A 20,385-nucleotide genomic window follows, 5' to 3' on the forward strand; every position below is an offset into this window, starting at 1 on the left:
ACACCACAAATACACACACACCAACATACACACAAGCATGCACACATACACACACACACACACTGCAAGCAACATTTTAATCTATTTGAGTGTATTTCATCCCAGTAGTGATCAGTTCCATCCCTGATTCAATCTGGTTAATTTGTTTTTTTCTCATGGTAATTCATGGAAATTGAGTTTCATATGTGTGGCAAGAGTACACACTATGTATTTTTTTATTAGTCCATTTCCACATGGCTATAAAGATACTACCTGAGACTGGATATTTATAAATAAAAGAAGTTTAATTGACTCACAGTTCAATTAACTGTTTCCTGGGGAGGCCTCAGGAAACTTACAATCATGGTGGAAGGTGAAGGAGAAGCAAGCACCTTTTTCACAAGGCAGCAGGAGAGAGAGAGACAGGAAGCACCACACTTTAAAACTATCAACTCTGGTGAGAACTCACTCACTATCGTGAGAACAGCATGGGGGAAAATGCCCCCATGATCCAATCACCTCCCACCAGGTCCTTCCCTTGACAAGTGGGGATTACAATTCGAGATGAGACTTGGGTAGGGACACAGAGCCAAACCATATCACTTATTTTTCTAGAACCCTGTAGTACAGGGATATCTAATGTTTTGGCTTCCCTGGGCCATGTTGGAAGAAGAATTGTCTTGGGCCACACATAAAATATACTAATACTGATAATACCTAGTGAGCTAAAAATAAAAGTTGCAAAAAAAAATCTCATAATGTTTTAAGGAAGTTTATGAATTTGTATTGGGCCACATTGAAAGCCATCCTGGGTCCCATGTGGTCCATGGGCTGTGGGTTGGACAAGCTTGCAGGTTTCATCCGATCATTGCATGAAAGCAGAGATATGCCATCCACAGCATAATTAAGGTTTGATTATAGATTTTTTTCTTCTTAAAATAAAGTGAGTTTTCAGGTTTCTTTTTTCATTCTGTTTTCTTTACTGAGTGGAACTTCCATTTTACTTTACACATTTTGTTTATAGTCTTCCCCTGTCACACCCACTCCAGCTTGTCATGTGGCACAGTCCTTTTCTGAGCTCATGCACTTCTCAACTCACCCTGACAATGGCAGTCATGAACACATGCACAAACCACTTCTAGCCTGTTCTCATTTCCTTTGAAGCATAAAGAGGACGTCCCATTTCCTGGCTCTCAGATTTTGTCAGCAGATAGAGCCTTAATGTAGTTTGGGCTGGGTGCGGTGGCTCAGGCCCGTAATCCCAGCACTTTGGGAGGCCGAGGTGGGTGGATCACCTGAGGTCAGGAGTTCAAGACCAGCCTGGCCAACATGGTGAAATCCCATCTCTACTAAAAATACAAAAATTAGCTGGACATCATGGTGGGTGCCTGTAATCCCAGCTACTCGGGAGGTTGAGGCAGGAAAATCGCTTAAACCTGGGAGGTGGAGGTTGCAGTGAGCTGAGGTCACACCACTGCACTCCAGCCTGGGCAGCAGAGTGAGACTCTGTCACACACACACACGCACGCACGCGCGCGCGCACACACACACACACACACACACACAAAGCTTTACTATAGTTTGCAGTTGCATTAGAGGTGTTGCCCTCTATCTAGGGTGCAAAGTGGCTTGGTATCACCCATGGACTGGGCCCCAAGCACAATTCACCTGTATAACTTTTCTGGAAGGGTGTCACCCTGGCAGCTTATGGGGACTCTGGTAATACCTTCCAGAGAGTCCTGGGCTAGGGATGTCTGCTGGGTGTGAGACCGACAACCTCCCACCCTCCATATACCTCCTGGGCCAGGACATGGGAATCTCACAGGGCACCCTGCCCCAGGCAGAAGAGGAGGGGACTAGCTTCAGAGGGTGTGGACAGTTCCCTGGTTCCTAGGAGGACTTCAAATGTACTGCAGATGGAAACTCCTTCTACCTCATTTTGAGTCCAACCAACCTACTTGGTGGCTAGAGGAACTTCATGTTTCTATTTATACACATTTTTAAATATATATATTTTACACGAGATGTATGTTTAAACAACCAGAGGCCAGATTTGAAGAGGAACATATCTGGGATTCATTCTGTTGTTGTAAGTGTCACTTAGTCCTGTGTGAGGACAGATTTGCCCTATGTGTAACAGCTACATTTAAGAAAGTTAAGAAATTGTCCTTAGTTTCACAATGGAATATTTCAAAAACAAAATTCTCCAATCGAACAATGTATGCAAAGATTATTATGGTTTTTTCTTCTCCCTGCAACAAGCGTTAAGGATCATTATGTTTGTTATGTTGTTAAAGTCCTGGAACATAGAGATAAGAGGTAAGTGAGCATCCCCTGGTGGAGAAAGGGAGTCTTTTCCCAGAATCAGTGTTTTCCCTCGCCTTGTGTCCATTGGCAATCACTCAACACAAACTGGTGGCCATTCGGTACAATCAAACAAGCAAGCAAACAAAATCATCAATATGCTTGTGCAGCTACACTTGATAATTTATGTACAGTAAAGGAATAAGGAAGGAGAAAGTGAAGAATAGAGAAGGGGATACTGGACCAATCAGACGTGGTGGAACCATATTGCAGTTTTCCACATGAGAATGTCTGTAGGAACAGAGTTCTGGGGTAAAGCCGTGAGTGTGTTCTCAGTAGACACTCCAGTCTGCTTCTGGAACACATCAACTGAATCTTTGTCCTCTGTTTCCAGTTCTGCAGATGTGTCTGTTTCACTGATTGGCCCCAGTCAAAGTGGAATCTGATCTGTGTCATGGACAAACTCTGCCTTTCACCAAAGGCTTCCACTCATTCACTAAGTGGTGTGTGCCTCTTCACCATCAACTGCACCCCGGGACCATCCTACCTGCCACTTTCAAATTCACAGGATTCTGCTCTCGGCCTTGACTCAGGCTCTTTCTCTGCCATAGCAGAGCCTGAAGGCTCTTCAGCTGCAGCTTCACCAAAGAGGTCCAGAGTGTGCACCAAACTAGTGAGCCAGCAGCTCCCGATGCCACAAGTGGAGGAGGCAGCAGAGCCTTACCCGGTGTTTTTATCACCATCCCTGCAGCAACAGCAGCAGCAGCAGCAACAACAATCACAACCACTATTTCTAATTGTGGTAATAATAATGATCACACTTAGAATAATGATGAATAACAATAATTGTAATTGCTGACATATTCAGTTTATATGTAGATTTATTATTTGTAATGTTTTAAAATTTACATTTAGTAATATAGACATTAATTGTGTCATAAATGTCAGGACCCCAAAACACCCCACCTAATGAATGACTCTCATCTATGGACCTATGGCTGCCCACCTGCTAGTGCGGGTGCTCTCACCACTCCACCCCCAGAGCTTCGATCTGTCTGGTCAACCTTCTAGGATGATGAAGTAGCTGAAGCACTCTTATGATCTGATTGAGGTCTTGGCAAACAGCTTGACTTGTTAGAAATCGAAGGCTGACTTTAAGACGTACTCAGCTGTTTGGCTAAATTGAGGCAGGAGGAAATGTCTTCTCGGCAGATCTACCTTTGTGTCTCTTGCTTTCAGAGTAAAACGTTGTTTCGGGAACAGTAGTTTAATTTAGTCTGTGTTAAAAATCATAATCAGACTACAAATAACGCACGGGGATGAAAATAATTTGCACACATGTTCGTGCATTATATGTGTTTTCAGATCTCTCCTATGGTAAGAAATGAAAAAGTTATGCCTTGATTTTTTAAACTCAGCCATCAGCCATTTTCCCAAGTTAATCTAAATGTTTGCAAGACATTTCAGAAGCATTCTCTGGTGGGGATTACTCCTAATTGTGAATAATCCTACTAGAAGGATGAGCATCTCAAAAGAACCTTTATTCTATTGCAGAAGAGTCAGTCTTCAGGATCTCAAAGGCCTAGGGAAGCTGCTTGAGTTGTGAGGTCTATGGAGGTACATGGGCTTTGGAGTCAGGCAAAGTTGATCCAGAGTCCCAGTCCAGCCACTTAGTAGCTGTAGTGCTTTGGACATGTTCCTTGACTTGGAACAGTTATATAAACCTTGCTGTAAGAAAAGGCAGAATGATACTGACTGCAAAATGGCTCTGGTGTCCATGCCCTTTGGAATATGCTTTTACAGCTGCTCCAACATAGAGGCAGAATCTGTTTCCTGACGCTTGGATCTGGGCTGGCCTTATTTGCTCTGGGCAATAGAAAGCTATCAATATGGCAATGTGACAGTTTGGGGTCTAGGGACATAAGGCCTTGAATGCTTCTGCTTTTTCTTTTAGAACCCTGCCATCTCCATGAGAACAAGCACATGTTAGCCTGCTGGAGGATGAGATCCCACTGGGGAGGAAAACCAAGGTGCCCCAGCTGACACCCAGAAGCAGAGCCACTTAGTCAACCAGCAGCTGACCACACACGCCTGAAGGAGCCCAGCTGAGACCAGAAGAATGGCCCAGTTGAGTCCAGCCTAAATGACTGACCATCCCAATCATGAGCTAATAAGGTTTAGGGTGGTTTTTAATGCAGCAATAGCTAACTGATACATACACCTGCAGTCAGGTTGCCAGGATTCAAATGACAGGTTGGTCACTACTTGTTGTTACCTGGCAAACAGAAGGCACTGTATAAGGTATTGATTTGCTTTTCCCTTTATTTAAAGTGGGGCCTCTTGTTGGATAGGGATAAATTATACAGAAATGCATGTTGACATGCTTGGTGCTTAAACTCACACAGTCCCCACACCATAGGAGGAAACAGCCCGCCATAGCCTAACCATCAGGGCCAAGGGCAAATTGCAAAATAAAAAAAATTTGCTTTTATTCCCTCCACATCCAAACTTTGGAGGTCAAGGCTGTAGACAGATCTGAAGTCAGGGGTTTCCTCCTGAAGCCTGACACTCTTCATTCACTGTCTGACCTTTGGAAGGCTGAGGGAGCCCTGCCCAGAAGCAGGTGGGCAGCAGTGGTCGACCTGTGGACACCTCCTGACTGCAGCCCTGGCTCTCTCACTGGGCACTGCCTCTCCCACCCTTGGGCATGAGGAAAGAGATGGGCAGGATGAGGGTGTTCGCTCTCGTCTGGCAGGAAAGGGGGTCCAGGCCCTCGATTTCCCTGAGGTTAGACGCGCAAGTGCCCTCAGATCTGCTCTTCAATGCGGAAGCCACTGCCCACGTGGGGCTGCTGAGCTCTTTGGATAGAGCTGGTTGGAACTGAGATGTGCTAGAAGTTTAAATACAGAGTGACTTTACAAGATTTAGTACCCCAAACTTAAGAAGCATTCTCTGGTGGTCTTCATTAATAATTTCATATTGCTCACATATTTGAGTGATAATATTTTGGATATATCGGGTTAAGGTATTACCATCAATTTTACCTGTTTTCCTTTCATGATGCCACTAGGCTACTGTAAATGACACATGCGGCTCAATTTTATTCCTATTGGACATTTCTGACTTAGAGGACTCCCTCCATTTTCAAATCTCATGCTGCCTCCACAAGGGACCAGAGGCCATGAAGGTTATGAAATCTGAAATTTTAAAAGAATCGTTATTATATAATTTTCAATTTTACATATTACCTATATTACTCATAAATTGATATAATCTTATGAGCAAAGTTAAATACCAATGTCCGGAGCAGCCCCAGGTCCCAGCACAGGGAGTCAGCCCTGCCTGAAAAGGGCTGCAGACAATCATTCATTCAGGCCTCATTCAGCCACACCTGTGATCGCATCTCCTGTCACTCGGGGGTAAGGGGGCGGGACCTGGAGCCCTATCCATTCAGCGGCGCCGTTGTCGAGCCTGTCCAATCAGGCGCGCAGCCGAAAAAGGGGGCGCACTTCCTGTGTTCTGGGCTGGCCTTTTCCTCTCCCAGGTGCGCTTCCCTGCTTGATCTGTGTACCCTGCTCTTTCTCCTTCATTCCGCAGCCTCCTTTGCCCTGTGACCTGCAGGTACTGGACGGTCCCTAGAGAGGATACCGGGACGCTCCTGAAGCCGCGAGATGGTGAGTCTGCGGGGCTGAGCTTCCCGAGACGCGGCAGGGGTCGGCTGGGAACCGGGCCTGCCCCTGGCGGCTCCGGGGTCGGGGCCCGGAGTCTCCTCGGTCACACGGTGCGGCTCGGCCGGCAGCTGGGACCCCGGGCGCCTCGTCCCGTCCCTGCGCGACGACCTTGGTCCTGCCTTGAGCCCTCTCTGGGCAGTTTCGCGCCCGCAGCCCCGTGTCTCCCCGCGTTGTGCGGTGATGACGGGAGGGGCCGTAGGGGAGAACCCCGGCTCGGGGTTCGGGCGTGGGAGGAGCTGTGGTCCGTGGGGTCCGTAGTCCTTTCTTTCTTTTGTTAAAAATTAAACTGAGGTTTGGTTAAAACGTTAAAGATTTTATCTGAGCAAATAACGACCCGTGAATCAGGAAGCCACAACCATGGATTGTGGTTTGGGGTCCACCGGAGGGGCTTGAAGGAAAGGGTTTAATAAGATGCATGAGGAAGCAAAGCCAATTCAGTAATTGATTGGCTACAATTACGTAGTCCCCTTATTTGAACTGTCCAGGCGGAAATTCCCTGATTATGTAATCAAAGGTTAATTGGTGGTTTGTGGTTGGTTAAGAGTGTTTTCTTTTCCTTTAAGTTATTTCTAAGAAATGCATGAGTTACGTTTTGGTTTTCTTAGGTAGAAACCCAGGGCACTACAGCCACTTCAGTCAAATTGCCTCCCATTTAATTATTTTAACACCCCACAGGGGGACTGATTTTCCCTGCATTTTCCAAATCTATGGCAAGGAGGGTCTCAAATCCACCACCCTGTTCCCCCAACCTAATTCTTCTAAGGCTTTCAGTAAAATTCTAAATTTTCACTTCCTTCTCCTGATTCTCAACTGCCAGCTTCCCCTCTGCAATTCACAACGTTATCAACTATTTGCTCTTTATTGTAGATTTCAAGCAGATGCAGCCTGACCATTAGGGCCAAGGCCAAATTGCAAAAAAAAAAAGAAGTTTGCCTTTATTCTACTCCATCCACATCTAAACTTTGGAGGTCAAGGCTGTGGACAGATCAGAAGACATAGTTCCCTCCTTCTGGGGCTCCACATCCTTCATTCACTGATCTCTGGGAAGGAGGATGGGTGGCAGGTAGGCAGCAATAGTCTACCTGTAGACACTTTCACCTAGGCCTTGAAGGATGAGTCAGTGTTTGCCCGACAGACTGAGATGTCAGGGGCAGCATGGAAAAGCAGAGAGGTGGGAGGGCAGGTTTCAGGTATTCTCAGTCCTCTGTGGTTTGGGGAATGTAGACCTAAGTGCAGGAGCCGGCAGGAGCTGGGGTTGCCTTTAGGCTGGTGCCTGAGAACACGGGCTTAAGAAGCTTGATTTTGGCTGGGTGTGGTGGCTCATGCCTGTGATCCCAGCACTTTGGGAGGCTGAGGCAGGCGGATCACCTGAGCTTAGGACCAGCCTGGCCAACATGGCCCCGTCTCTACTAAAAATACAAAAATTAGCTGGGCGTGGTGGCACATGCCTGTCCCACCTACTTGGGAGGCTGAGACAGGAGACTCTCTTGAACCCAGGAGGCGGAGGTTTCAGTGAGCCAAGATCACACCACTACACTCCGGCCTAGGCAACAGAGCAAGACTCCATCTCAAAAAAAAAAAGCAGCTTGGTTTTGTGAGCAGTGTGCTTCTTAGAAGGGTTCCAAGGGGCATTCTTGAAATAGGAGATGGGAAATTGAGGTTGGGTGACTAGATAAGTGGTGGGGGGCCTTCACACGCTGAGACCAGTTTGTGGAGGAAGATGAATTTCATCCCTGCAGGATGGGTCTTCCATGATACTGAAGGGAGAGCCACATGTTGATGCCCAGGACCAGCTGCCTCCTTGGTCTGAAAGGCCTGATCGAGGCCAGGATTGGCTATGAGAGCTGGGAAATGGGACCATCTTTGAAGCCATGGGAGAGGGTGAGGTGAGAATGAGGAGAGGCTGGGGGGCCCAACACTCCCAGCTCAGGACTGGAGGAAGAGGATGGAGCTGGAGAGGGAGGGACGAGGGTGTGGCATTGGTCAGGGAGGAGGAAAGGAAATGAGCAGTGGCCTGGGTGCTGGTGAGTGGACAGATGTACCTGGGCTGGAGAAGCCCCTGGGGCTTGGCCCTGAGGGTGGCCTTGGTGATGTGGGGAGAGTGGTTTGGACAGCGAGCTCAGGTGGAAGCCAGACTGTGGTGGGCTAAGGAGCAGTTGAGGAGGGAGGCACAGGATGTGAAAGGGAGAAGGTGCAGCTTGCAGGTGTGCCGAGGGTGAGCTGGGACTGTGGAGTCAAAGCTCTGGAGGGCACGCGGACACCGTTCCATATGACTTGTGTCCATCCAAGTGGGGTGAGGTGGACAGCCCTCCCTCACCAGCAAGGCCCAACCAACTCAGTGCCTTTCTTGTCACCCCCAGAGCCACCATCACTCATGTTCTTGAATGGGAACTGCCTGGAGACCCTGAAGAAGAAGGAGCCTGAAGGAGGAAGGAGGAGGCTGAGCCATCCCGGGAACATGGGCTGGATGAGGCCAAGCCAGGAGACGACACCACCAGATAGAAGTCACCATTCAGGATTTGGACTTTTCTGTGGAGATCCTGGCCCCGAGATCGAACCCTTCTCCCTGTGGGTATGATGGAGGAGGGGATCTGGGGACCAGGGCTTGAGCCTGCTGGGGAAGATGATGCTGGAAAACTCAGCCTTGCCCTGGCTCTTTCTGGCCCTGTGCTATAGGCAGGAAATGGAGGGCCCTGGGCCCTGCCCGGGGTCACTCTGCTAATGTGGTGGACCTGGGAATGGAGTCCGGGTTCAGTTACTGCCTTATTGCTAGAGGACAGCTACCAGCTGGGCCTACCAGCCCTGTTCAGGGAGAGGAGTGGGAATGGGTGGGTAGTGTCAGGTCCCAGGATGCCCCAGCCTCTTGGCTCTGTGCCCTCAGGCAAGTCACCTCTCTATGGGCCATGGCCTTACCATCTGTCACCGGGGCCTGGAGGGTGGTATTGGGTGTTCTCCAAGGACAGAGCAAACCCGGAGGACTTGCAAGCTGGTAACTTGGTGGGGAGCCTGGCAAGACCCTCTCATGTCCTCTCTACTCACAGGCTTGGGCCCTGGAGCACCCCTTCAGGAAGGAAAAGGCCATTTGCCCTGGGGCACTCAGCCCTTGGCACTAGGCAAGGGCAAGAGCAAGCCTGCCGTTCCCCCTCCCCACTTTCTTCCATCTCCCTCTCCTTGGCTCGGGGGTTGCTCTTAGGCTGCAGGAAGAGTCAGTGGGGCCAGGCTCTGTCCTGCACTTAGGCACACAGGTGCCAATGGGCATGCTGTATATGGACAGGGCCTGGAATGTAAAAGCCCAAAAGTGGGAAACTGAGTATTTGAGACACTTATTCTCAGGACCCAGGTGTTTTGGGCTGGGGAAGGGGTATGTCCTTGCTCCCTACCATGTGGCCTCTGACCGGGCTGGTCCGGGCCTTCTCCCTGGCAGGTGTTCCCGCAGGAGATGGTGCTGGAGATCCACCAGCTGTTCATGGACCATGAATACCCATGTCACCACATCACTTCTCACTGCACCTGGGTGGCAGCACACTGGACCACGTCTCAGAGCTGCGCAGCATGGCAGGGCTGCAGGCGGGCTTGCTGCTCCACGTGGTGGAAGGTTGGTCTGGAAGTTGGGCAGCCTGCCCAGGGAGGGCCCCTGTAAGCAGGGCCGGGCAACACTGCACTGCCCCAGCTGGTGTCTCTATTTCGCAGATGAGCATATGGAGGTGGGATTGGAGCACAAGTCTGCTTTTCAGGGCATCATACCTGCACTCTCTAACTTCATGGCCCAGGGGTGAAAAAACAGTTGAAATTCTGAAAAGAAAGTCAGGCAGTATGAAGCTAGGGCTTGGAATCCGCCCTATTAAATTATGAAAAGATGAGTGCTTAGTTTCCTAAAGAAACTAAAGTTTCACAGTCCTTGAGTGGGGAAGTCGGCTCCAAGCAGCACCATCAGCTGGTGTAGTGAGCCTGGCTTGGTTGTCAAATAAAAGCTTCCGTAGACTCAAGTTCTCTGGGTGAAGCACTCAGGTTCCCAGGGCCTGACTACTTGTGGAAAAGGTCTGTAGCTCAAGGGGGCCCACAGTTCATCACAATTTCTCCCTTCCTCCAAAACAATGACCATTAAAATCCCATGAAACTCAATGGGGGCGTTAAATTTGGCAGCCCTAGAAAGTTGTCAGGCCACCCCTGCATGAAGGCTGCCCCAGGAGAGCAGGGTGAGGCTGCAGAGGCCTAGCGCACAAAAAGCAGGAGGCCTTTTGTGGGCTCCCCAAGGCCTGTGTGTGCTTCAGAAGCAACTGGCAGGAGGTTCTTTGCAATCAAGGATTCTTGCCCTTAGCAAGCCAGGGTGTGTTGTGTGTGTGTTTGTGTGTGTGTGTAGGTGCGCACGTGCACACGTGTGTATTGAAACCAAACTCTAGCTTATGTGTCCATAGTGGAATTTGAAAATGGAAGCCTAAAGTTGAAAATTAAAATTATCCATGAAGTTTCCTTGCCAACTATTTACTAAGCTGGGTGGGTTGTTCCAGGGTGCAGGGCCCTGGTAACACCCTCCTCTCTCCTGTTCCTGACAGAGCCCTGCACAATGCACAAGGCCCACGGTGATGAGTGCCACATTTGAGACTGCTCAGGAGCCTGGACCCAGCTGATGCAGCTCCTTGTCCTTCCTGAGCGTCTTCACTGACAGTGGCCTGAGAGGTGTGGAGGCATTGGGGCCAGAGATTGGGCAGGGGGCAGAGGGGCAGGGAACAAGGAGGCCAGAGGCTGACGAAGGGGGCTTAAGGCCAGGCCTTTCTACCTGGAGGGGCCTGGGCCTGAGGAACCCAGACCAGGGCCACAGTTAGAGGCAGCTGGCCCTGGGTGCTTGTGTGCTGACCACCAGCCTTGGGTCTCACAGACGGCAGGAGCAGAAAGACTTGGAGATGGACCCCACCGACTGCACACCACCCAAGTACATCCTGCTAGGGACCCTGGAACAGCCACTGTGTCCCCTGCAACCCCAGAACGGTGACTAAAAGGTGGGACTCCAGGGAGGAGCAAGGAAGAGGGTCCCCGGGTGGGTGGAGGGCCACACACCAGGAGGCCTGGCCCATTCATGCTTGGCCATTCCTGCAGCCCCTGAAAGTGCTCACCGTGAGCGGCTGGTACCTGTCCCCTGGGAACTGCAAGATGCACAGGACCTTGTGTACCTGTTTGTGATCACAGCCGAGGACCAGCGAGGTAGCATTACCACATCCACACAGGGCTTTTACCATAACTGGTGAGTCCCTGCCAGCCTACCAGGGGCACCCACTCAGGGACCACCCTCTTCTTGTAGGTCTCCAGCCTGTCACTTCAACCCCAAGCCCACCAGCCCCCGCTTCCTAAGCAATTCGCAGGGGAGCTGCTCTGCCAGATCTGACTGCCTTTTACAGAACATTGTGCCCTGCGTCAGGGGAAGGGGAGTGCCTTTGCCCCGTCTGCTCCTGCCCCGCTTCATGTCACACAGGGGTCTGGGATGATTTGGCTAGCCCAAACTCAGTGCTTCTGCCCAAAGAAATTGTCCCCGGGCCCCCAGTGCCCAAGTCTCCCTCTAGGGAGCTGTGAACCAGCTCTGGCTAGAGCAGCCGTGAAGCAGCGCCCATGTGCTTCTGACTCGCCTTTCAGGGCAGCATCTCAGGGCCAGGAGAACCCAGAGCAGGTGAGGGCCTCGATGAAGAAGGAGCCTGTGGCAGCGTCCTGAGATTGGTGGGTGGCCCCATCTGCCTTTCCCCTGCCTGCCTTGAGGTCCAGTACCACCCATTCGAGAGGGGGCCACCTCATTCCAGGTGTGCAGCTGGATGGCCCCTGTGACGGAGTACACTGTGGACTGCAGTGTGGAGAGGCATCTGCACCTCAAGGCTGGGCTGTGAGGAGCACATTCCTGCATAGGGGCCTGTAGCCTGGCCCGGTCCTCAGTGGGAACCCCCTTCCTTCCTGGGTGCCAGGTGGGGTTCTGTGCACTTCCCTGAGGCTCCCCACAGGTCTGTTCATTGGGGAGTCTGGGGCTGTCTGTGGGGAGAGAGGAGAAGGGACTTCCCAGAGCAGGTTGCAGTGCACAGGCTGAGCCCATGTCTCCCTCCCTGGTCCCTCTGCAGCCCCAGTACTGGAACGAGGAGCTGCAGATGATGAGGGACCTACCCAACAAGAACCAACCTGAGCAGCTGCTTCAAGAAAAAGCCATGTTCAAGGTGCCTGAATCCCCTGGTAAGTGAGTGACAGCCTCACAGCCTCAGGCCCACCTGGCTCCTGCTGGAAGGTTTTCTTGTGCTCGGGAGAGAAGTGAGGGAAGCCGGCAGTCCCAGCCCTGTCAGGTGCCCTGAAGGCCCGTCAGGTTTGCCCTGCAAGGCCTTCTAGCATTCTGCTTCCTGGGAGACCATCCCCCACCTTTCTCCGGCCTCTGAGACTTTGAGTCCTTGGGAGGAGAAGGCCCTCCTTGCTATCTGGGCTGAGTGGCCAGGGCCATCCAGCTTCCCACCCTCCACTGACTGCCATGGGGCCCTCCCCTGAGCACATGGTGCCCAACTGTAGCCCTTCTAGGGCAGGGGCTCATTGGCAGCACTTGCAGCTTGCTGGCACTTAAAAGTCATTAGTGCGGTTACTGAGAGAAATGAGGAAAAAATAATTGTTAAAAAAAAAAAAAAATCTCTCCTAAACTTACTGTGTAACATGGAAGAAGTAACAGCCAAAATTTCTTGGGTACTAACTTTACCAGGATGATTCCAAGTGCTTTATAAGCATTATTTCCTATAATCTTTTGGACCCCTTGTAAATGTCAATACTTTCCATCATCATCGTTGCATAGACAAGAAACTGGGTCTGAAGTTACCTGCCCTGGTTTGCCTGGCACATAGCTGGTGGATCCCAAACCTGCCGCAGCCCTCATACTCCTTGGTAGCCACTAAACTCTGTGCCTCTTTAAGCATAAGTGTTTACTTTTTTGTAGAAATGATTTTCTTGCCCTTCTCTAAATATAAGGAAACTGAGGCAAGGGTCTCTGGCTCCCAAGGCAGGCCTGGTTGCCTCTCCCATCTTGGCGAGCTGGACCAGGTGGATGTAGCCTGAGGCTTTTGTGGGCATGGCCTCTCACCCTCCCAGCCTTGGTCCCTCCCAGGTACACAGCAACTTCAGAATGGCAGCCACATGGGGCGCCATGGTAGTCAGGGAGGCATCGTCATGGCCATCAGTCCCAGTGAGGAGACCAAGCTGCAGATGTTCATGTGGAGCCGCATCATCTTCAGCCTGGGCTTTGTCATTAGTGGCCACTACAAGGACTTTGCCAGGGATGTGGCAGCCTCCATAGCATTCACCAATGACCTGAACGGTGAGCACCCGCACAAGGCAGCGGACATGGAGGGTCTGTACACGCTGGACACAGCAGAGGTGGATGACCGCAGCTACTGGGTCAGGTTCCAGTCCTCATCCCTGGCATCCTGGAGTGGGACCAGGAGCAGAGTGTCATCTATGGCTCCACTGACTTTGTAAGATGGTGGTGTGGCCCCCATCGTGTTGCCTGGATCTGCTGGAGCATGAGTTAACTGCTCAAGACCCTGTGCCACTGCATGCTCAACCAGTGCAACGATGAGGCGGAGCTCTTCTCGGTTGAGGGCAAGGGTGTCACTGGCAATGACAGATACTACCTGCTGAGCCCCCTCCCCCTGACCTCAGCTTCCTGCCTGTGCCCCACAAGGAGCTGCCAGAGGAGTGCTCCCATGCCAGCTTCCCCTGCACCCACAGGCACAGGTTCTGTCGCTTGTGCCAGGAGCTGGTGGATGTCTTTGTGGAGCACAGTTGAGGAGCAGCCCTGTGAGGCTGAGGCTGCAGCCAGCTGCACTCTGCTGCGGGCACGGGCACCCTGGGTTGTTCTGGGGCTGGATCGTTGAAGAGAGAAGCTCTGGACAGTGAAGAAGAGCTCGTTTTGGCCACACTCACTAGAGCCCCTTTCCCATCCCCCACCCACCTGCCATCAGGCTCCCAGATGCAGAATCTGGAGCTTTGTGTTGGTTGCAAGCCAGCAAGCAGTCAAACCAGTGACCCAGCTGAGCTGTGCTGTTCTCCTAAGGAGCATTTGGAAGTCACTGGGTGGGTTGTGAAGGTCACAGTCCCTGAGTGTTGGTGCTGCTGGTTTTTAGTGCTTAGGAGTTGGCCATGTTAAATTTCCCACACCACAAGTAACTCTTTTCCAGAAGCCAGTGGCATTCCTGTCTCTGTTGGAAGTCCTGGTCTGAATGTGGACCCTCTCTCCCCGACCTCTATACTCTGGCTGTCTTCTTCCTGTCTGGGGAGATCTGGCAGCCACCACCTTGTTGCCTGGGTCTGTGAGAGCAAAGCTGAGTTCTGGTCCGGCTTGTAGCAGAAGAAGGAATTTGACAACATCTATAAGGCCCAGGTGGGCTGTGGCAGGGCCGGTGGGTTGAGCTGCGCCTGTAGGCTGTGGGCAGCTAATCCTTTCCTGCCTGTGCTCTCTCCCCTGTTTTTTGGTGAGAACCACGAGAAGGAAAGCTCCGAGATCCTCAAGTGCCTGGCCCAGCAGGCCATGGCCCAGCAGCACACTGTGAATGGGAGATACTGGTCGGCTGCAGTGCCAGCATCCTGCCCCTCCAGCTATATCCCTGGGTGGAGCTGGGCCCCCACCCGGCCTGGGTAGGATGAGCCTCACTCACAGCTCATCCCCCCACGGCCCCTCAGTTCACAGCCCCCAGTATGGCCAGCGTCTTGGAGCAGCTCCAGGTCATCGGTGATGTCCTCTTCATTCTTCTCAGCTGAGGCCCCTCCATGGCTCCCTACTTAGAAGTTGGCCTTTAGTTTTTTAAGATATGTAATAGGCTGACATGGCTCAAAATTGAAAAGTGTAGCCAGTGATGAGAACTTCCTTGTGAATCCTTCCAGAAATACTCCATGTGATCTTTATCCCCCTCTTTTTTTTTCTTTGGAATTGTGGCATGCCACGTATGAAGGTTATTATTGTTTACTTCATTTAACAACGTATCTTGGTGATCTTCCATTTCAGTTCCTAGGTAGTGGCTTTATTCCTTCCTAGGCTGCCTGTGGTTCCAGTGCAAAATGTGCCTTAGGAGCAGGCCCTGAGGACTCCCGCGGTGCTGTCACAAGCAGTGCTGCCTTTGGGAGCCCCTAACCTCCTGCTTTTTCTCTCCTCAGTGTGGGAAAGGGGTTTGGTCAGCCAGGGGTGTCAGCAGCCCTGTCCCACACCCATTGTCTACACCTAATCTGGTGGCAGGGAGGCCACAGAGTGCAGTGATTGGAACTGGGTGAGAGGGTTAGAGGCAACTGGGCCCTAGGCCGAGTCAAGTGCATGGAATCCTGACTGTCAGCAATTAGGGATCTTTCTGCTTTTGGGAGGGAAGTACTTGTTCCACGCGTCTCACTGAATATGGCACGGAACCTGATCTGTCCCAAGTGGGAGTTTAACCAAGCTAGCGGGGGCCCAGGGCCCTGGCCCAGTCTGACACCTACCTCCTCTCCCACCTTCTACTCACCCAGAAGACTAGGAGAATCTGAAAGCAGAGGTGGTGCAGCGTCACTAGCTCCAGGAATCCAGAAAAACAGGGATAGGGCATTCTGGGAGGTTGAAGTGGGTGGATCACTTGAGCTCAAGAGTTGGAGATCAGTCTAGGAAACACGATGAAACCCCATCTACACAAAGCAAAAATTAGCTTGGCGTGGTGGCGCGACCTGTAGTCCCAGCTACTCAGCAGGCTGAGGTGGAGGATCGCTTGAGCCTGAGAGGTCCAGGCTGCAGTGAGCCATGATTGTGCCACTGCACTCCAGCCTGGGTGATAGAGTGAGACCCTGTCTCAAAAAAACAAAACCAAAAAAACAGAGCTAGGGCTGGGGACCCCTATGGCCACTGAATCTGAGCCCCTGGGGGCAGAGGAACTGAGCTCCCAGCCCTGTGGCTGCCAAGGATCCTTTTTCCTTGAGCTTGCAGGGATTGAGAGAGAGAGAGTCAGCGGCCCTGATGTTAGCGATGCAGACTCCAGGAGAAGGGGGCATGCTCGCAGTTTAGAGGAAGTGAGCCCCTCTTCCACGTTCCACTCCCACCATCCTCCTGGGACCCCAGCCTGCATGCCCCCCAAAAGATGCTTTTGCACTGATTCAACAAAGCCTAAAGATGCAAAGGCCTAATTGAAGACCTGTGAATGGCATGTACGGTCCTCAGTTCCCAGCTGAGGGGCCACTCGGGCTCCCCATATTCCCCTCAGCCTCTCCATCTTCCAACAGGGGTGTGGAGTGCATCCATGGCCATGAGTATTGATCTGTCCCAGCCTGTGCATTGCTCCGAGGCAGTTCTGAGTGGATGATGTACAGATGGGATTCCTCAGCTCATTTGCGTGGTTGACGTTATGGCTGCTGGTTTTACTGCCACAACTCCCAGGCCCAACCTGGCTTAATGTCTAAGTTTTAAGCCAAAAAAGATGGGGAGCAGAGCTTTGTGGCAGGGCTGGGGGTTGGGGTCCACTTTAGTTTTGTGGCAGGATGAAGGCTGCAGTGGTTTTATTAATCATGATTGGCCTGGCCGTAGCTCCAGGCTGAGAGGGACAGGTTTGTCAGTGGTGGTCCCCCAGATGTCCCTGTGCCCAGCCCTGGCCTGTCTGCCCTCAGGCCCAGCAGGAGGCGCTACCACAGGCTCTGACTGGCGTCCCTACTCCCTGTACCCCAGATGGACAGAACCTTCGGGTCTACAGTCGGAATATATCATTCTCCCCATTTTAACCTGAGCTGCCTGACACACGGAGGGTGTGCTGGGTAAGGGGCCTAGGGAGCCAGGGTTGAATCATGGATCCTGGGGAAAGGTTGCAGACACAGGAAGGGTTGTCACCTCTCTGTGGAGCCCTGCTGCTTACCACACAGCACCTTCTGCAGAGACTAGCTCTGAGGGTGGCAGGGGACCCCACAGGCCATGGCCACTCCCTCTCTGCACCTGTCCGTGCCTGCTGTGGAAGCCTGGACTGGGGGAGGAGATTGCTACCCTGTGAGCCTGAGGGAGCCACGTCCAGCTGTGACCTCTACCTGGGGCTTTACAGAGAGTTGTTTATGGGTAACAGACACCTTGTTTCAGAGGGAATGGGCATGAGCTGGCAAGTGAAGCACCCCCACAGCTTATCAGGAACTTTTTCTCATTTTTAAACCATCATGTCTTCATTTCACATTGGAATAAAGTGAGGTTTTGGAACCTGCTGCCCCAGTCTCTGGATTGTGAGGGCTGTTGTCAAACAGGTTACTAGGAGAGGAATATGTATAAATTAGCTCAAATTCAAGGTTATGCTTGTAATGTCACCTGAGTGGGAAGTAAGAGGGTGGAGTCACAGGCACTCAGCTGGGATTTACCTGGCCTCGTCACTAGACTAATGGGATTGTGGCACAGGTGAACATCCCGTCATTGGAGAAGAAAGGCTGGATTGAAGGCCAGGTGGGGGAGGGGTGCTAGGCTGTGGGGTCAGGCCCTGGGCATGCTGGACCTGTTAGGTCACTGAACATCTGACTGGGCACCTGCCCAGATTTGTCCCTTCAGTTGAGGTGGGATTGGCAGCACTCCCCAGAAGGCGTGCAGTGCCGGGAGAGTGGAGGAGGGTCTGACGTTTGCTATCCTGTGGTAGGTTTTAGAGCTAACTAGATGCTTGTGGAGAGCTAATGACATGGGAAGAAGGCAGCCCACCTTGATGGACCGGAGGGTTAGAGCCTGCGATGTGAGAAGCGGGTGTGTGGAGGTGGCCTGTCTACAAGAGGGCAAGTTTAAGGCCCATTGCAGTGGCACTATCTCAGCTCACTGCAGCTGGTGGCTGCCAGGCCATCCCTCTCCAGAGCAGGGAGGCCCTCAGCCTTATGTATAATTGAATGCCTTTTGGGATGCTTGGATAGTCCTTTATGTCTTGGAAATTCAGAAAAGAAAAAAAAAATTACAATCCTCCTGTCTGTTAGTTTCCCTGAGCCAACTGGATAAAAGATGTCCCTGACCCCAAGATTTTAAGTGACACCCAAGGGAAGCCACCGTTACCTTGGCTGTTGAAGCCTCCTGCATGCTCCCCAAAAACCCCAGCAGTTTCCTCTGCAGTCCCACAGTTATGTCCTGAGCAGTGGGGTACCGTGTGATGAGAGGTGCTAAGGATGGGATGAGGGTCTTTCCTGTGTTATTAGAACGGTTAAAAAGTTGTTTTAAAGGTGCCCAAATGCCCTCCTTCTTAAACTTAATTAGCTAATAAGATGCCTTATACAAGCAAAACCAGGTACGGGAAAGCAAGTGCATTTCAAGTCCAAGCTCACCCCTTAAATTAGCTGTAATACCCTCAGCAGGTGGCCCCACCTCAATGAGCCTGTCTCCCATTCAAAAAGCAGAACGAGTGAGAGGGCGGGGCCTGGAGCTTTACCCAATCAGTGGCGTCGGAGTGGAAATCCTCCAATCGGGAGTAGCCGGAGAGCAGGGGCGGCTTCCGGGATTTGGCGGTGGCCTTTGTTGGCTGCAGTAAGAGCTCAGTCTCTTCACCAGGGGCTCCCAGTCCTTCCATCTGGGAGGCCAAGGCGGCTTCGCGTTCTGAGAATAGACAGAACCTCTGTTACTCTGTGACCGGCAGGCACCGGGAGATCCGTAGCTCAGACGCCAGGACATCCCGGAAGCTGGGAAATGGTGAATGTGCCAGGTCGGGGGTCCCCAGAAGAGGGAGAGGGGCGGTCGGAAGCGGCGGGAACCCTCTTTGAGGTTAGCTTCGGGGTCTGGGCCCTGAGTCCCCGCGGACGCAACTCGGCCCTTGGTCCCCTCCGCCGCAAGATGGCGGCCGGGCCGGCAGCCGGGACCCCGCGCGTCCGGTCCCCTCCCGACCCCGCAGAGCGACCTCTGCCATGGCCGGAGCCGTCTTTGGGTCGCCGCAGCCCGGCGTCTCCCGAGATTGTGCGGTGAGAACGTGAGGGTCTTAGGGGAAATCCCGGGTCGGCGTGTGATTCGTGTGTGGGAAGATACTGTGCCCCGTGGTGTCCCAGTCTCCTTTTTCCTCTTACAAATTAAGGGGAGTCACCCTTAAAGCGTTAAAGGGTTGATTTAGGTAAACAGCGATTGGTGAAATGGGAAGCCTGCCGCCGTGGTTTGTGGTTTAGGGTCCTCTGGAGCAGCGATTTCAAAATCCCAGGGCTCAGCTTAGGAATGCTGCTGGGGAAAAGAAATAGGGACAATCTCTCTTCCACTTTGGCTGTAGAAAACGAATACATTTCCACAGAAAGTGTGCTAGATTAATTGGTCAATTACAAACATTCATTAAAATATCAGGTCCTCTCTTTTGCAGTGGAGGATTTGTGACAGTGGATATCTGTGTTCCATATTCTACTGCTATCTGGATGTCCGACTTTAATGCCAAATGTTATGAGACAGGACTTGGCACCTCCTAGAAGTGTTCACATATACTAAATGATCTGCTATTATGGAAATAATTAAATGACATGTTTCTTGCTCGAAAGAGGTATTTTGGCCTTACCTGTTGAAGTATAAAGTGTAAGTGCCTTACAGTTTCCTTCCTTTCTATAAAAACTGTTTTGAGTGATTTTGCTATTTTCCTGAAACCTGTTAGGTCACTGAACATCTGACTGGCTGGGCACCTGCTCCTGTCCCTTCAGTTGAGGTAGGATTGGCAGCACTCCCCAGAAGGCGTGCAGTGCCAGGAGAGTGGAGGAAGGTCTGACGTTTGCTATCCTGGGGTAGGTTTTAGAGCTCGCTAGATGCTTGTGGAGAGCTGATGAGATGGGAAGAAGGCACCCCACCTCGATGGACCTGAAAGAGAGAGCCTGCGAATTGAGAAGCGGGTGTGTGGAATAACCCTGACTAGGCATAGAAGACCTCAGTCTTATTTGAGCCTGCAAAAGGAGGTCATTGAAGGCCCAGTTAGTTCTTCCTGGGGAGCGCCCCCTTCAGGTGTCCCTGAGGTTCACAGCAGCCATGGAGGGAGCCCTTTGTTACTGGGAGAAGCTGCAGAGTTCTGGAAAGCAGGGGATTCACAGGCGGATGTGGTCGAGGTTGGGCTGGAAGGGAGATTGGGAAGCTCTTTCTGAGGGTGGAATTGTTAGTGTCCTGGGGCTGTTTCTTGACTTGGTCAAATAAAACATCTGGATATAGGTAAGAAGTGCCTTAATTGTAAAGGAGTATTGCAAGAGGAGGAAAGCACCAACTGTAAGATATTTGTGGATCTCACAGTTGAAGCAGAAAAGGCCTTTCTTTCATAGGGAGGAGCAAACATGATTCAAGGTGGGAGGGGAAGGGCACGACTCCTGGACTAAATCAGATCCCTGATCAGAGAATGTTTCACCCTGAAGTCAGCCTGTTCTTAGGAGGGGCATAAAGAGGGGTTGAATGTTGACTCAGGCTGTGGGTGGG

General features: G+C 51.6%; 1 protein-coding gene and 1 pseudogene across 19 annotated transcripts in view, besides 7 other annotated features; both read left to right on the forward strand.

Moving 5' to 3' along the window:
* Window positions 1,202–1,251: an enhancer, noted in NCBI's record as "active region_10766". NCBI's record gives its function as "activates an Ori minimal core promoter by ATAC-STARR-seq in GM12878 lymphoblastoid cells {active_cell/tissue: GM12878}" and the evidence as "EXISTENCE:reporter gene assay evidence [ECO:0000049][PMID:35858748]".
* Window positions 5,636–5,775: a silencer, noted in NCBI's record as "silent region_7424". NCBI's record gives its function as "represses an Ori minimal core promoter by ATAC-STARR-seq in GM12878 lymphoblastoid cells {active_cell/tissue: GM12878}" and the evidence as "EXISTENCE:reporter gene assay evidence [ECO:0000049][PMID:35858748]".
* On the forward strand, window positions 5,813–12,933 carry CLUHP3 (clustered mitochondria homolog pseudogene 3; annotated as a pseudogene). Its single transcript, NR_024034.2, has 9 exons — window positions 5,813–5,957; window positions 6,882–7,077; window positions 7,754–7,900; window positions 8,375–8,586; window positions 9,439–9,609; window positions 10,568–10,691; window positions 10,891–11,011; window positions 11,109–11,253; window positions 12,110–12,933. The product of NR_024034.2 is annotated as a clustered mitochondria homolog pseudogene 3 (transcript).
* Window positions 6,036–6,185: a silencer, noted in NCBI's record as "silent region_7425". NCBI's record gives its function as "represses an Ori minimal core promoter by ATAC-STARR-seq in GM12878 lymphoblastoid cells {active_cell/tissue: GM12878}" and the evidence as "EXISTENCE:reporter gene assay evidence [ECO:0000049][PMID:35858748]".
* Window positions 13,100–13,600: an enhancer, noted in NCBI's record as "H3K4me1 hESC enhancer chr16:31719202-31719702 (GRCh37/hg19 assembly coordinates)". NCBI's record gives its function as "activates a minimal SCP1, AML or CMV promoter by ChIP-STARR-seq in primed H9 embryonic stem cells {active_cell/tissue: H9 hESC(primed)}" and the evidence as "EXISTENCE:reporter gene assay evidence [ECO:0000049][PMID:30033119]".
* Window positions 18,463–20,385, forward strand: part of KRABD5 (KRAB domain containing 5) — a 48,322-nt gene continuing 46,399 nt past the window's right edge. For 10 of the 18 annotated variants that reach the window (NR_172086.1, NR_172085.1, NM_001394186.1 and 7 more), the window contains exon 1: window positions 18,463–18,654. Coding sequence is in view for 7 of the 18 variants with exons in the window: in NM_001130913.2 (NP_001124385.1) it covers window positions 18,652–18,654 (3 nt within the window). In the remaining 11 variants the exon portion in view is untranslated. Of the gene's footprint in view, window positions 18,727–19,303; window positions 19,510–19,585; window positions 19,637–20,385 lie in introns of all 18 variants that reach the window. The other 8 variants (NM_001394181.1, NM_001394175.1, NM_001394178.1 and 5 more) reach the window with 4 other exon arrangements.
* Window positions 18,630–18,749: an enhancer, noted in NCBI's record as "active region_10767". NCBI's record gives its function as "activates an Ori minimal core promoter by ATAC-STARR-seq in GM12878 lymphoblastoid cells {active_cell/tissue: GM12878}" and the evidence as "EXISTENCE:reporter gene assay evidence [ECO:0000049][PMID:35858748]".
* Window positions 18,840–18,899: a silencer, noted in NCBI's record as "silent region_7426". NCBI's record gives its function as "represses an Ori minimal core promoter by ATAC-STARR-seq in GM12878 lymphoblastoid cells {active_cell/tissue: GM12878}" and the evidence as "EXISTENCE:reporter gene assay evidence [ECO:0000049][PMID:35858748]".
* Window positions 19,874–19,923: an enhancer, noted in NCBI's record as "active region_10768". NCBI's record gives its function as "activates an Ori minimal core promoter by ATAC-STARR-seq in GM12878 lymphoblastoid cells {active_cell/tissue: GM12878}" and the evidence as "EXISTENCE:reporter gene assay evidence [ECO:0000049][PMID:35858748]".

The sequence above is a fragment of the Homo sapiens genome, chromosome 16 (assembly GCF_000001405.40).
Source record: "Homo sapiens chromosome 16, GRCh38.p14 Primary Assembly".
In the NCBI taxonomy this organism is placed as follows: Eukaryota; Metazoa; Chordata; class Mammalia; order Primates; family Hominidae; genus Homo; species Homo sapiens.